Source organism: Homo sapiens, chromosome 6 (assembly GCF_000001405.40).
Source record: "Homo sapiens chromosome 6, GRCh38.p14 Primary Assembly".
Classification (NCBI taxonomy): domain Eukaryota; kingdom Metazoa; phylum Chordata; class Mammalia; order Primates; family Hominidae; genus Homo; species Homo sapiens.
The window spans coordinates 21,536,186-21,548,910 of NC_000006.12; the positions used below are offsets into that span (position 1 = coordinate 21,536,186).

The 12,725-nt window shown below is 42.1% G+C and overlaps 1 long non-coding RNA gene across 1 annotated transcript; it reads right to left on the minus strand.

Moving 5' to 3' along the window:
- Positions 1-1,178: 1,178 nt before the first annotated feature.
- LOC107986579 (uncharacterized) lies at positions 1,179-4,900 on the minus strand. The gene is made up of 3 exons (XR_001744022.2): positions 4,779-4,900; positions 2,712-2,839; positions 1,179-1,779 (listed from the first exon to the last, which is right to left on the minus strand). It is a non-coding gene; the product is annotated as an uncharacterized LOC107986579 (long non-coding RNA).
- Between the last annotated feature and the right edge of the window lie 7,825 nt (positions 4,901-12,725).

The following is a 12,725-nucleotide window of genomic DNA, read 5'->3' on the forward strand; positions in this document are numbered from 1 at the left end:
TTGATATTACTCTTGTGGCAAATTAAAATGAATAAGTATCTTTATAGGGTGCTGTTGAGAAACATTTCCCCCATTCTGTGTGTGTCCAGTTACCATTTTAGACTTGGGATAAGACTTTAATTTAACCCTATTGAATTCTGCATGTTAAATTCATTTTATTATTTCACTCTCCTAAGATCATTTAGAGTGCTGACTCTATCATTCCACGTACTTGTCCTCTCCAGCCTGTGTAATCTGTGAATCTGTTAAGAGCCCTGTGGCAGACACTGCTAATCGCATATCTGATATCCATTTTCACTTTCTTCCTTACACATCCCTGACTTAGTTGGATTGTAGCAATGGACCCAGTTTAGGTGCTTTAACTCCCAGCATCCCTTGCGGCTAGTGGTGGTCATGTGATACAGTTCTGGCCAATGAGATGAAAGCAGAGTCATTGGGTAGGCTTCCAGATCAGTTTATTGAAGAGGCCAGACCCATGAGAATGAAAACCAAATTCAAAGAATGATGGAGAGGGAAAAACAAGTAGTCCAGGGCACGATGCCACTGTGGGGCTGTAGCGTCAGCCCTGTGTTGTGCACCTCCAGTCACATAACTCCTGGAGATGTGACAACAACAACTCCTATTTGATGAAGCCTCTGTCACTAGGTTTCTGTCACATTTAGCTAATGCAATTACCACCTGTTGCAGATGCCATCTACAGTCTTATCAAAATATATGGCGGGGTGGGGGTGAGGGATGAAATACTACCTACTAGGTACAGTGCACACTATTCAGATGACAGATACACTAAAAGCCTAGTCTTCACCACTACATAATATATCCATGGGCTCATGCCTATAATCCCAGCACTTTGAGAGGCCGAGGTGGGTGGATCACCTGAGGTCAGGAGTTCAAGGCCAGCCTGGCCAACATGGCGAAAAGCCATCTGTACTAAAAATACAAAAATTAGCCAGGCGTGGTGGCGCACGCCTGTAGTCCCAGATACTCAGGAGGCTGAGGCAGAAGAATCGCTTGAACCTGGGAGGTGGAGTTTGCAGTGAGGCGAGATTGTGCCACTGTGCTCCAGCCTGGGTGACAGTGACAGAGGGAGACTCTGTCTCAGAAAAAAAAAAAAAAAGTCCTAGAGCTGAGGCTCACACTCATATTCTCACAGCCAGTGTTAATTGTAGTACGCCATATCATTAGAATAACTCATACAAACCTCCCTTTTATATGATACCTTCTCTTCAAGATCTCATTTTACTTTACCCAAATTATATTATTAACCTTTCAAATGTCCTTGGGCATTAATAGGAATTAAAGAAAGTTTTTTGCTTCTCAGGGGAATATACTTTGGCTTTGAGTATCTGAGTGCCCTGCTCATAATCAGAGATCCAGAGGGAGTAAAGAAAATATACTTAAAAGCTTTTGCAACTATAGGGGCAACAGACTGGAAAAGGGGCCCAAATTTTCCTCTGGACTCAGATGGGTCACTTTGCCCTCAACCCCATTGTTGGGATCTCACTAAGAATAACTTTTTCCCTGTTAACATTTGCCACTCTTTCTAAATGGAAAACAGTTTGTACATTTCTCTTACCACCCAGAAGTAGGACAGTCCTGGCACAAACATTTCCTTGATATTTAATAACTCCCCAACTCCCTCCAACTGCTGCAGCTGCTGCACAGCAGACACAGGGAAAGATTAGATATGGCATTTGCACCTGGCCAGTCATAAACGGCTCCTTGGTTACATGCGAAGGTTAACAGGCCCAATTCCCTTCTCTTCTTCCACCCAGAATGCTGCAACATGAAAGAGAGCTGTAATTATTTATAAACAATAAAAACTCCTATGGAGCATATAAAATGAATGGGTTTATTTCCCTACTCAGAATGCAAGTAGACATTTTCCTGGTTGTCGACATCTTTGGGGCTATGATTAGAAATGCCTCCTCTACCCCTTGTATTTGAATGTGAGACTCTAGGTCTTGTTTGTATCAGAGTGATGGGGGCAGACTCTTCATATCTATTGTATGCTGTCTGCTACTTAGTGATTCTAACCTTTGCAAACTAAGACTCCTTCTCTTAGTAACGTTGCCTTGGTACTTTGTGGTACGTCTGCCACTAGCTGGCCTCTCTTCCCCTTGCTCCTGTTTTTCTGACCCAGCAATGATCTCAAGTGGGAGAAATGCAGCTCAGCTTGGGAAATGGGGCGGAGTTGGGGGCATTTCATTGAGTTCTCTCCTTAATCATGATTCAGTGGGTCCTGGCTGGCTCAACACAAGACGAAAATGAGTTTATAGACCTCTATAGTCAGCTGTCATCTGCTTAGCTCCAATGTGGTAATTTGAGAGCAAAACAGAAAAAAATGCAAAAACTCAAAGACTCCATGTTAATAGATGACTTGAATGTGCTCCCTTTTTTCACAAACCCTAATGCTGTACACTTTTGCTACCAGTATGTTACATAAGCATGATTCACTCTTAGAACTGAATGACTCCTTTGACCACTTGGAGTTCAGAGGCACACAAGGCACTGTAGTGGAAACGGAAGCTTGTCATATTGGTGGCACTTTCTACTCATAGTTTCTAGGAGTTTCCAAGCTTTTCAAGTAGGAGAGCCTGTTTTTTACCCAAAAATAGCAGTTTTGTTTTCATCTCTGTTGATTGAGAACACCAAAAGTTACCACGAAAGCCGCACATTTTGTATTTATTCATCATTACAAAGCTACTTACGCATGAAAAAGAGCAGTACACATATTGCAATACGTTATTCTGTCCTTGATAATACTTGATATGTAGATTCCAGGACCCCTTAATGTAACCCAGAGGGTTCACAGGGATTCAAAGCCCAAATCAGTCACCTTTGAAAGAAAAAATGACTCTTTTAGAAAGGATTTAAAGGGAGAGCTGTTAAAATCTTACAAAAACTTGCAGAATAAGATCCTTTGATACACCATGTTCCAAAGGACAAATGAGAAATCTAGGGAGATAGCTTTTAAATTTCTAGCAATAATTTCAGCACTTAGGCATCTGCTGTTTAGCCAACCTATGGATATTGTATTTTTTAATGGACCAATGTAATTGGATAAAATTCCTAATCAGCTCAAAATTTTTATTTTAAATGAGTAACCCTTAGTATAATCACTGCATTAGCAATAGTGAACTACATTTGAAAATCCCTATTTAGTAAAACTACATTAAGTAAAATGCAAAAAATATGATAAGCAATCTAATTTAATTTCTATATGAGATTATTAACACATATTGCGCTATCATCTATAATTTTAAAATCATGTTTTCTCTATCTAGACCTGTAAAATCATATTCTTATAATTGGATGTGTATTCAAAGTTATTTCTAGCTTTATTTTCCCTTTTGAATTTGGGCAAGCAATAGTTCCTAAAAGAGTCTCCAGTTCACATCTTAAAACACAATGTAAAATTCTAGGGTAAATTACAGTCTAAATTACAGTCCTTTCTTCTCTAAAAAAATTGGGGGGAAAAGTATTCTGTATCTCATTTCCACTAATCCTCAACTGTTGGTCCTTGACTGCTTGTATTTTCTCATTGGAGTCTACTCTTCCCCATGGGATTATATTCGGTTTGTAATGTTTTCACTGGGTGAGAAGAAATGAGAGGATCAGCCTCACACCTAAGCCAAACTACTCCCTGGATAATCCTCTCCAGATAGCAAACACCAGGAAAGCAAAGATAAACGTCACATGGGCAACTCCAAGGATACACATCCCTAGTAGGAATACTTCAAGGCTTCCCCAGGTGCCTAGTAACAAAAACGATGTGGTCCACAAGCAGGAAAGATACACATTCCCAAGCAGAGTTTAAAGAAGTTAAACACTGACCCCCACCAAGCAGGCAGGGGACCTGATAACCTCTCCTAGTCAGGCCGCCCAGAGAGATCTGTGAAAGCCAAAGGCCAGACTACTGACATAAATTCGACTGCCCTGACAATATGCAGTTGACCTGCTGACATCTAATGGCTACGCACCTATGCAGACCTTCCAGAAGGGCAAAAATGAATGCTTCACTCTCACTCCTGTTTTGGGCACAAAGTTGCAGTCTTCACATAGTGTAACACCTCCTTCCTTCACCCCAAAGACTCCAACTCCTTCTCCCCAGCGCCCACCCCTAAGCCCACTCTTCCTGGATTTGCATCCAGGTGCAAATTCATACATGTGGTGGGAATCCTTCATCCAAATGCAAATCATTTTGCAGAATCAGAATTCTTTTGCTATGGGACTGGATGGGCCAGCCTCTAGGAAAATTTGCATATTGACTGGTTATGATAGGCGCCACCATGGGTTACAGAAATGAAGGGACAAAGAGATCATTACAAAATCAAATTAACAAACAAATGAGAAACAAATATACTCTATTAACTGTCTACATTTTTTCTGAACCCGGAAGAGACTAAAATTTAGAATGCTGAAATGCATCCAACTGAAAAGGGGCAAAAAGAATTTTAATGAATTACAACACAACTTGAGATGCAGACTGTATAATTAGAGTCTGAGACTGTAAGTCAGTGGAAAGCTGGCTTGATTTAGTCCCCTTCAGATGATTTGCAAGAGAAAATGACTGTATTTCAAAGTAAGAGTTCCAAATAGATTATAATTTAAGACAGTGTAGGCTGGGTGCAATGGCTCATGCCTGTAATCCCAGCACTTTGGGAGGCCGAGGCGGGCAGATCACGAGGTGAGGAGTTCGAGACCAGCCTGACCAACATGGTGAAACCCCGTCTCTACTAAAAATACAAAAATTAGCTGGGCTTGGAGGCACGCACCTGTAATCCCAGCTACTCAGGAGGCTGAGGCAAGAGGATCACTTGAACCCGGGAGGCAGAGATTGCAGTGAGCTGAGATCACGCCACCGCACTCCAGCCTGGGCGACAGAGTGAAACTCCATCTAAAAAAAAAAAAAAAGACAGCAAGCATAGTTATACAGAATATTCAAGCTAATATTAGAACATTTTAAAAACATTTTCAACCAAATATTTTTAAATGACTTGCTAATATAAGACATTTTTTCTATGTTATAAACAATGAAACCAGAAATGTTCCCCCAAATTTAGTTCCAAATATTTTTCTTTAAAAATCCCATATTACTTTGTTCTTTAAATCATCCTCCTTAATCCAAATATATTGACACTGAAAAACCAACATATCTAGAGCCAGTGACGTAGATAAATGTGAGGGCAATGAAAAAGACTGACAGGAAAAATGTCAAAGCAATTCGTGAGATACATTTGCAAGTACTTTGACTGTTGAGGACACAAACTTGAGCAGTGAGAACAGAAACTCGGACAATGACCAATGTCACCTACCCTTGATCCTTGAAGTTGATTTGGATACCCTTTCCTCCACCCACCTCCAAACGGGCATGCAGATTCATATCTTCAAGAGCTTTAGGATTATACATTGGCCCTGTGCAGACCTGGGCCACCTCTTTGCACAGGCTAGAAATGGTTCAAAGTTTATCTGGAGATGTATTTCCTGAGTCAGGATTTGCAGAATACAATATGATTATCCTTAGAAACCATGGAGGGCTGGGCACGGTGGCTCATGCCTGTAATCCCAACACTTCGAGAAGCTGAAGTGGGTGGATCACCTGAGGTCAGGAGTTTAAGACCAGCCTGGCCAACATGGTGAAATCTTGTCTCTGCTAAAAATACAAAAATTAGCTGAATGTGGTGGTGCACGCCTGTAATTCCAGCTACTCAGGAGGCTAAGGCAGGAGAATCCCTTGAACCCGGGAAGCGGAGGTTGCAGTGAGCGGAGATCGTGCCACTGCACTGCAGTCTCGGTGACAGAGTGAGACTCCATCACAAAAAAAAAAAAAAAAAGGAAAGAAAGAAACCATGTAGGATGAATGACACCAAATCTATTTTCCTTGTTTTTAGGTCTTCCTGAGTATGACTGAAATTGCTCGCGGACAATCTTAGAATTGCTAATGTAGTATGCCGTAATGTAACTGCCTGACAGGTTCTCCTTGCCCACTACCTAGACAGAGCCAATTTATCAAGACAGAGGAATTGCAATAAAGAAAGAGTTATTCACACAGAACCAACTTCGTGGGAGACTGGAGTTTTATTATTACTCAAATTAGTCTCCCTGAGCATTTGTGCATTCGGGGATCAGGGTTTTTAGGTATAATTTGGTGGGGCAGGGGTGGGAGGGAGGCAGTGAGTTGGCAGTGCTGATTGGTTAGGTCAGAGAAGCTGTCACCTTGCCCTGAGTCAGTTCCTGGGTGGGGGCCACAAGATCAGATGAGCCAATTTATCCATCTCAGTGGTGCCAGCTGATCCATCAAGCTCAAGGTCTGCAAAATATCCCAAGCACTGTTCTTAGGTTTTACCACAGTGATGTTATATCCAGGAGCAATTTGGGGAGGGTCAGACTCTTGTAGCCTCCAGCTGCTTGACTCCTAAACCATAATTTCTAATCTTTTGGCTAATTTGTTAGTCCTACAAAGGCAGTCTAGCCCCCAGGCAGGAAGGGGGTTTGTTTTGGGAAAGGACTATTATTGTCTTTGTTTTAAACTATAAACTACAAACTAAGTTCCTCCCAAAGTTGGTTCCGCCTACACCCAGGAATGAACAAGGACAGCTTGGAGGTTAAAGGCAAGATGGAGTTGGATACGTCAGATCTCTTTCACTGTCTCAGTTATAATTTTGCGATGGGGGTTTCAATAACATTCCGTCTTGTCTCTCTAAGTAGACCGTATGTTTCTGTTTTATTTTATTTCACTTTAAGTTCCGGGATACATGTGCAGAACGTGCAGGTTTGTTACATAGGTATACGTGTGCCATGGTGGTTTGCTGCACCTATCAACCCATCATCTAGGTTTTAAGCCCCACATGTATTAGGTATTTATCCTAATGCTCTCCCTCCCCTTGTTCCCCACCCCCCGACAGGCCCTGGTGTGTGATATTCCCCTCCCTGTGTCAACGTGTTCTCATTGTTCGGTTCCCACTGATAAGTGAGAAGATGCGGTGTTTAGTTTTCTGTTCCTGTGTTAGTTTGCTGAGAATGATGGTTTCCAGCTTCATCCATGTCCCTGAAAAGGACATGAACTCATTCATTTTTATAGCTGCATAGTATTCCATGGTATATATGTGCCACATTTTCTTTATCCAGCCTATTGTTGATGAGCATTTGGGTTGTTTCCAAGTCTTTGCTGTTGTAAATAGTGTTGCAGTAAACATACGTCCGCATGTGTATTTATAGTAGAATGATTTATAATCCTTTGAATATATACCCAGTAATGGGATTGCTGAGTCAAACGGTATTTCTGGTTCTAGATCCTTGAGGAATTGCCATACTGTTTTCCATAATGGTTGAACTAATTTACACTCCCACCAACAGTGTAAAAGCATTCCTATTTCTCCACAGCCTCACCAGCATCTGTTGTTTCCTGACTTTTCTTTTCTTTTTTTTTTTTTTTTTGAGGTAGAGTCTTGCTCTGTTGCCAGGCTGGAGTGCAGTGGCGTGATCTCAGCTCACTGCAACCTCCACCTCCTAGGTTCAATCAAATCCCCTGCCTCAGCCTCCCGAGTAGCTGGGATTACTGGTGCATGCCACCACACCCAGCTAATTTTTTGTATTTTAGTAGAGACGGGGTTTCACCATGTTGGCGAGGATGGTCTTGATCTCCTGACCTCGTGATCTGCCCACCTCGGCCTCCCAAAGTGCTGGGATTACAGGCGTGAACCACTGCGCCCAGCCTGTTTCCTGACTTTTTAATAATTGCCATTCTAACTGGTGTGAGATGGTATCTCAAACAAATTCACAAGAAAAAAACAACCCCATCAAAAAATGGGCAAAGGATATGAACAGACACTTCTAAAAAGAAGACATTTATGCAGCCAACAAACGTATGACCACACATTTCTTTTCTTTTTTTTTTTTTTTTTTTTTTTGAGATAGAGTCTCACTTTGTTGCCCAGGCTGGAGTACAGTGGTGAAATCTTGGCTCATGCAACCTCTGCCCCCTGGGTTCAAGCGATTCTTCTGCCTCAGCCTCCCCAGTAGCTGGGACTACAGGCATGCACCACCATGCCCAGCTAATTTTTATATTTTTAGCAGAGACAGGGTTTCACCACGTTGGCCAGGCTGGTCTCGAACTCCTGACCTCGTGATCCACCTGCCTCAGCCTCCCAAAGTGCTGGAATTACAGGCATGAGCCACCACGCCCAGCCGACGGTAAGTTTCTTAAGGGAGGAAAAGTCTTCCCGCCAGGCCCCTCCACCAACCAAGTGCCAGGCATTTGACCTTTGAACCGTCGACCATAGCAGGAACTCTAGGCTAGATAGCCTGAGAGACTCTATTCAGAATAATTTGGTGTGATTACTGGCACATAGTGATCTCTTTCTCTCTCTTTCCTGCCTTCCTTTCCCACTTTTCTGAAACCAAAGCAGAAGTGTGCATGTGCACACTTGAGTGAAGCTCCTCCTATTCCCATTGGACTGTAATTGTAGAACTCTTTCTTATCACCAAAGACTTGAAAGGCCTATCTTTATAAAAAGAAACGCCCACCCCTAACTGCTTAACCCTTCTCCATTCTAACAGTAAAACTTCCATTCTATGGTTGATGTCCATAGAGACAGCAGTTACATTTTTACCAACTGTGGTTTAAATAATGCCTCTCTTGGAGAATATTACATTTTTCTTTTTCCCAATCAGTCCTTCCCATTTTTTCCCATTCGATATTCAGGGTCAATATCGAGCTCAAAATTCAATTATATACCAAGGTCTGCTGGCACTATTTTATGTTGCAGTCTGTTGAGAAGGTACCAAACTCAATTATCAGGCATGTAGTAAGTATTCAATGAAAGTTCTTTACCTTTTCACCCCTTAACCTTAAAGCTACCTGAAGGTTGGAGTAGTGCATACCTTGTGTTATCTACTCCACTGAGAAAGCTCACAGCATTTACAAACCATTTGGTAACCACCCAGCTGGTTCTCCTTGCCCACTGCCTAGACAGAGTCAATTCATCAAGACAGAGGAATTGCAATAGAGAAAGGGCTTAATTCACACAGAGCCGGCTGTATGGGAGACCAGAGTTTTATTATTATTCAGATCAGTCTCCCTGAGAATTCCAGGATTGGAGTTTTTAAGGAAAATTTGATGGGTAAGGGGCCAGTGAGTCAGGAGTGCTGATTGGTTGGCTCAGGGATGAAATCATAGGGAGTCAAAGCTGTTCTCTTATGCTGAGTCAGTTCCTGAGTGGGCGGGGGGGACCACAGGACTGGTTGGCAGGTCCAGTTGGGGCCATCTGGTTGTCAGAAATACAAAAACCAGGCGGGCACAGTGGCTCACACCTGTAATCCCAGCACTTTGGGAGGCCGAGGCGGGCAGATCACAAGGTCAGGAGATCGAGACCATCCTGGTTAACACGGTGAAACCCTGTCTCTACTATAAATACAAAAAAATTAGCCGGGCGTGGTGGTGGGCGCCTACTGTAGTCCCAGCTACTCAGGAGGCTGAGGCAGGAGAATGGTGTGAACCCGGAAGGCGGAGCTTGCAGTGAGCCGAGATCGCGCCGCTGCACTCCAGCCTGGGCGACAGAGCCAGACTTCGTCTCAAAAAAAAAAAAAAAAAAAAAGAAATGCAAAAACCTCCCGGGCACAGTGGCTCACGCCTGTAATCCCAGCACTTTGGGAGGCTGAGACGGACAGATCACTTGAGGTCAGGAGTTCGAGATCAGCCTGGCCAACATGGCGAAACCCCGTCTCTACTCAAAATACAAAAATTAGCGGGTCATGGTGGCAGGCGCCTGTAATCCCAGCTACTCGGGAGGCTGAGGCAGGAGAATCGCTTGAACCTGGGAGGCGGAGTTTGCAGTGAGCCGAGATCGCACCACTGCACTCCCGCCTGGGTGACAAGGGCAAGACTCTGCCTCAAAAAAAAAAAGGAAAGAAAGAAATGTAAAAACCTGAAAAGACATCTCAAGAGGCCCGTCTTAGGTTCTACAATAGTGATGTTATCTTCAAGAGTAATTGGGGAAGTTGCAAATCTTATGAGCTCTAGAATAATGGCTGGTAATTATTTAGAATTCAAGCCCCTCTCATCCTAAATTGGTGGCCTTTCACTAGTTTTACAAGAACAGTTTGGTTTTGGGGAAGGGCTATTATTTAAACTATAAATTTCTCTCAAAGTTAGCTTGGCCCATGCCCAGGAATGAGCAAAGACAGCCAGCCTGTGAGGCTAGAGACAAAATGGAGTCAGCCATGTCAGATTTCTCTGTCTTAATGTCCTCGGTTATAATTTTTGCAAAATCAGTTTCAACTTGATTGCTGAGCCTCTGTATTTTCTGAATGATTTTAACCCTATTCATAGTTCCTGGTGCATAGCATTACTGCTTGCAATCATTCTATAGTTCATTCCACAGACATTTATGTGGTGTCTTTTAGGTAGAGTACTGTGTATATTATCATAGTGAGACTGGGAAGCAATGTAGTGTTGTGGTTAAGAGAGCAAGCTCAGGAATAGCCTTGTGCAAGTTACTTAAATGCTGTTCCTCAGTTTCCTCATCTGTAAACTGGGGATAATTACAGTATCTACTTTATATGATGATTATAAGGAATAAATGGGGTAAATCATGTGAAGTGATCAAAACAGCATCTGCCACACATTAAGCACTTGGTAGATGAAAATTATTTTGATGTATCCAGGAGCTAGTACAGGGGTTCTTAACCAAAGGTCCCTGGATTCCCAAGGTCCACAGATGGATTTCGATCGAGCATCTCAGAACTTCTTGAAATTATTAGCAAAATTTAGAATAATTTGTCTAGACTTTATAGTTTAGAATATAGAGTTTTCGTCAGATTTTCAAAGGTAAGGAGAGGCCAAAAAACATCAGAATCCACTGAAGTAGGGCAGTAGAGAGACCAGACAGAAATTTTGCCCTCAATGACTTCACAGTTTAATGGAGGAAATGGACATTTAGTAACAATAAGATGTGACAGCAGCTATACGGAAATGAGCCCACAATGCACTGGGGTACACAGAAAAGGGTCTCCTGAAGGAGTGATGCCACAAGCAAGGCTTCCTAGAAGAGGTGGCATTTAAGATAAATCTTAAAGTATGAATACAAGATAGCCAGATGGAAAAGGGGAGCAAGAGTGTTCCAGGCATAATGAGGGTCAGGTGCAAAGGTACGAGCTGGTGTGGGAAGAGCAAATTGTTGTGAGTGGATCAAGAAGAAACTGGAGACAGGGAGGCTAGTAAGGTGGGCAAGGAACTAGTCATGAAGGACTTTCATTGAATGCTATGCTGAAGAGTTTACATGTTATATAGAAGGCCATCATGGTAGACATTGTGCTGACCAATATTTCCAATTCTCCTCCCCACCCTAGATTGAAGATATATTTCCTTGCCCTATTGCAGGTGGGGAAGACCATGGGAAAGATTCTGACTGATGCACTGTGACTTGAGGCAATGTGCCATTTTTAGATCAAAGCCTTCACATGCCAGGGCATGATTCTCTATTGCCGCAGCAGTCATGGAGGATGATTTGTGTTAAGATGGCTGATGTTTCAACTAAAGTCTCCACCAATGAGCTATACCCCTTACATGGCAGACTTTGAATGAGTGGAAAACAAATTGTGATTGCCTTTTGCCAGTGAGAATTGGAGGTTGTCTTTTACCTCACCATCTCTTGACTTAACATAACTAGTATAGCCATGGAAGGCCATTAAAAATGTTTTCCCTGAATATTACAAACAGGGGTTTGCATCCTATAGAGAAGGTGCTCTTGAGCGATGGAAGGATTCTAATTAGGGTCATGATTATGATATTTGTGTTGAAGATTGCTCTGGTAGTAGCAATGTGAACTACACAAGAGGTGAGGAAGCTGGATGCAGTCAGGAGGCTGGTACATTAGCTGCAAAGTGAAGCCAGCGGGGCCTCAACTAAGGCAATAGTCTTGGGTTGGGGATAGTAGGTAAGCTTGGGTCTTTTATTATGCTTCAGGGGCTCATGAGTCTGCCAATTCATTATTGCAAATGTGTACTGAAATATATTCCCCAGTCTATATGGAAAGCATATTATTCTTACTTTCCATGATTACTAACTATGGTCACTGATTTTCATGGCAGAATTAGAAAAATTTATTAAGGAAAAGAAAGGGCAAGTCTGAAAGCTAACTTATTTATAAAAAAGCATTTCCAACTCTATTTTGATTTATTCTGAAACCCAGTTGTAATGAACCTAAGCATTCCTTGTACATGCAACATAAAGGGCATCTATGATTGTTTCAGTGGTGGTGAATAGTTTTACATATTCTGTAGCTAAACATAATCGATTTTGTAGCTTCCTAATGATCTACCCTGAGGAGTTATTATTCCTGATGGCAATTAATCAAAATTAAAACAGACTGCATAGAATGAAGCAAATTCAAACATCCAGCCTCAGTTAGGAACACCTGCACATTAAGATTAATCATGGGCCCTGCTAGAATGTGACAGATATATCAATATTATAGAGAAAAGAGAAAGGTAACATTTTCCAGGAGAGTTCCAAGTGTATTTCCAAGGAGCAAAGGTTCTGAGCCTGAGTCTAGGTTGAACAAAACCACATAAAATCTGTATTTATCCATGACATTGAAATTAAAATTGTTTTCTTCCAAAGAGCTTAAGTAGTTGTGACAATTTGTGTTACAAAACCACAAGTACCATTGTAGAGAGCTCAAAGGAATTTAGATCAGTGAAATGTTGACTTTTTTTAAAAT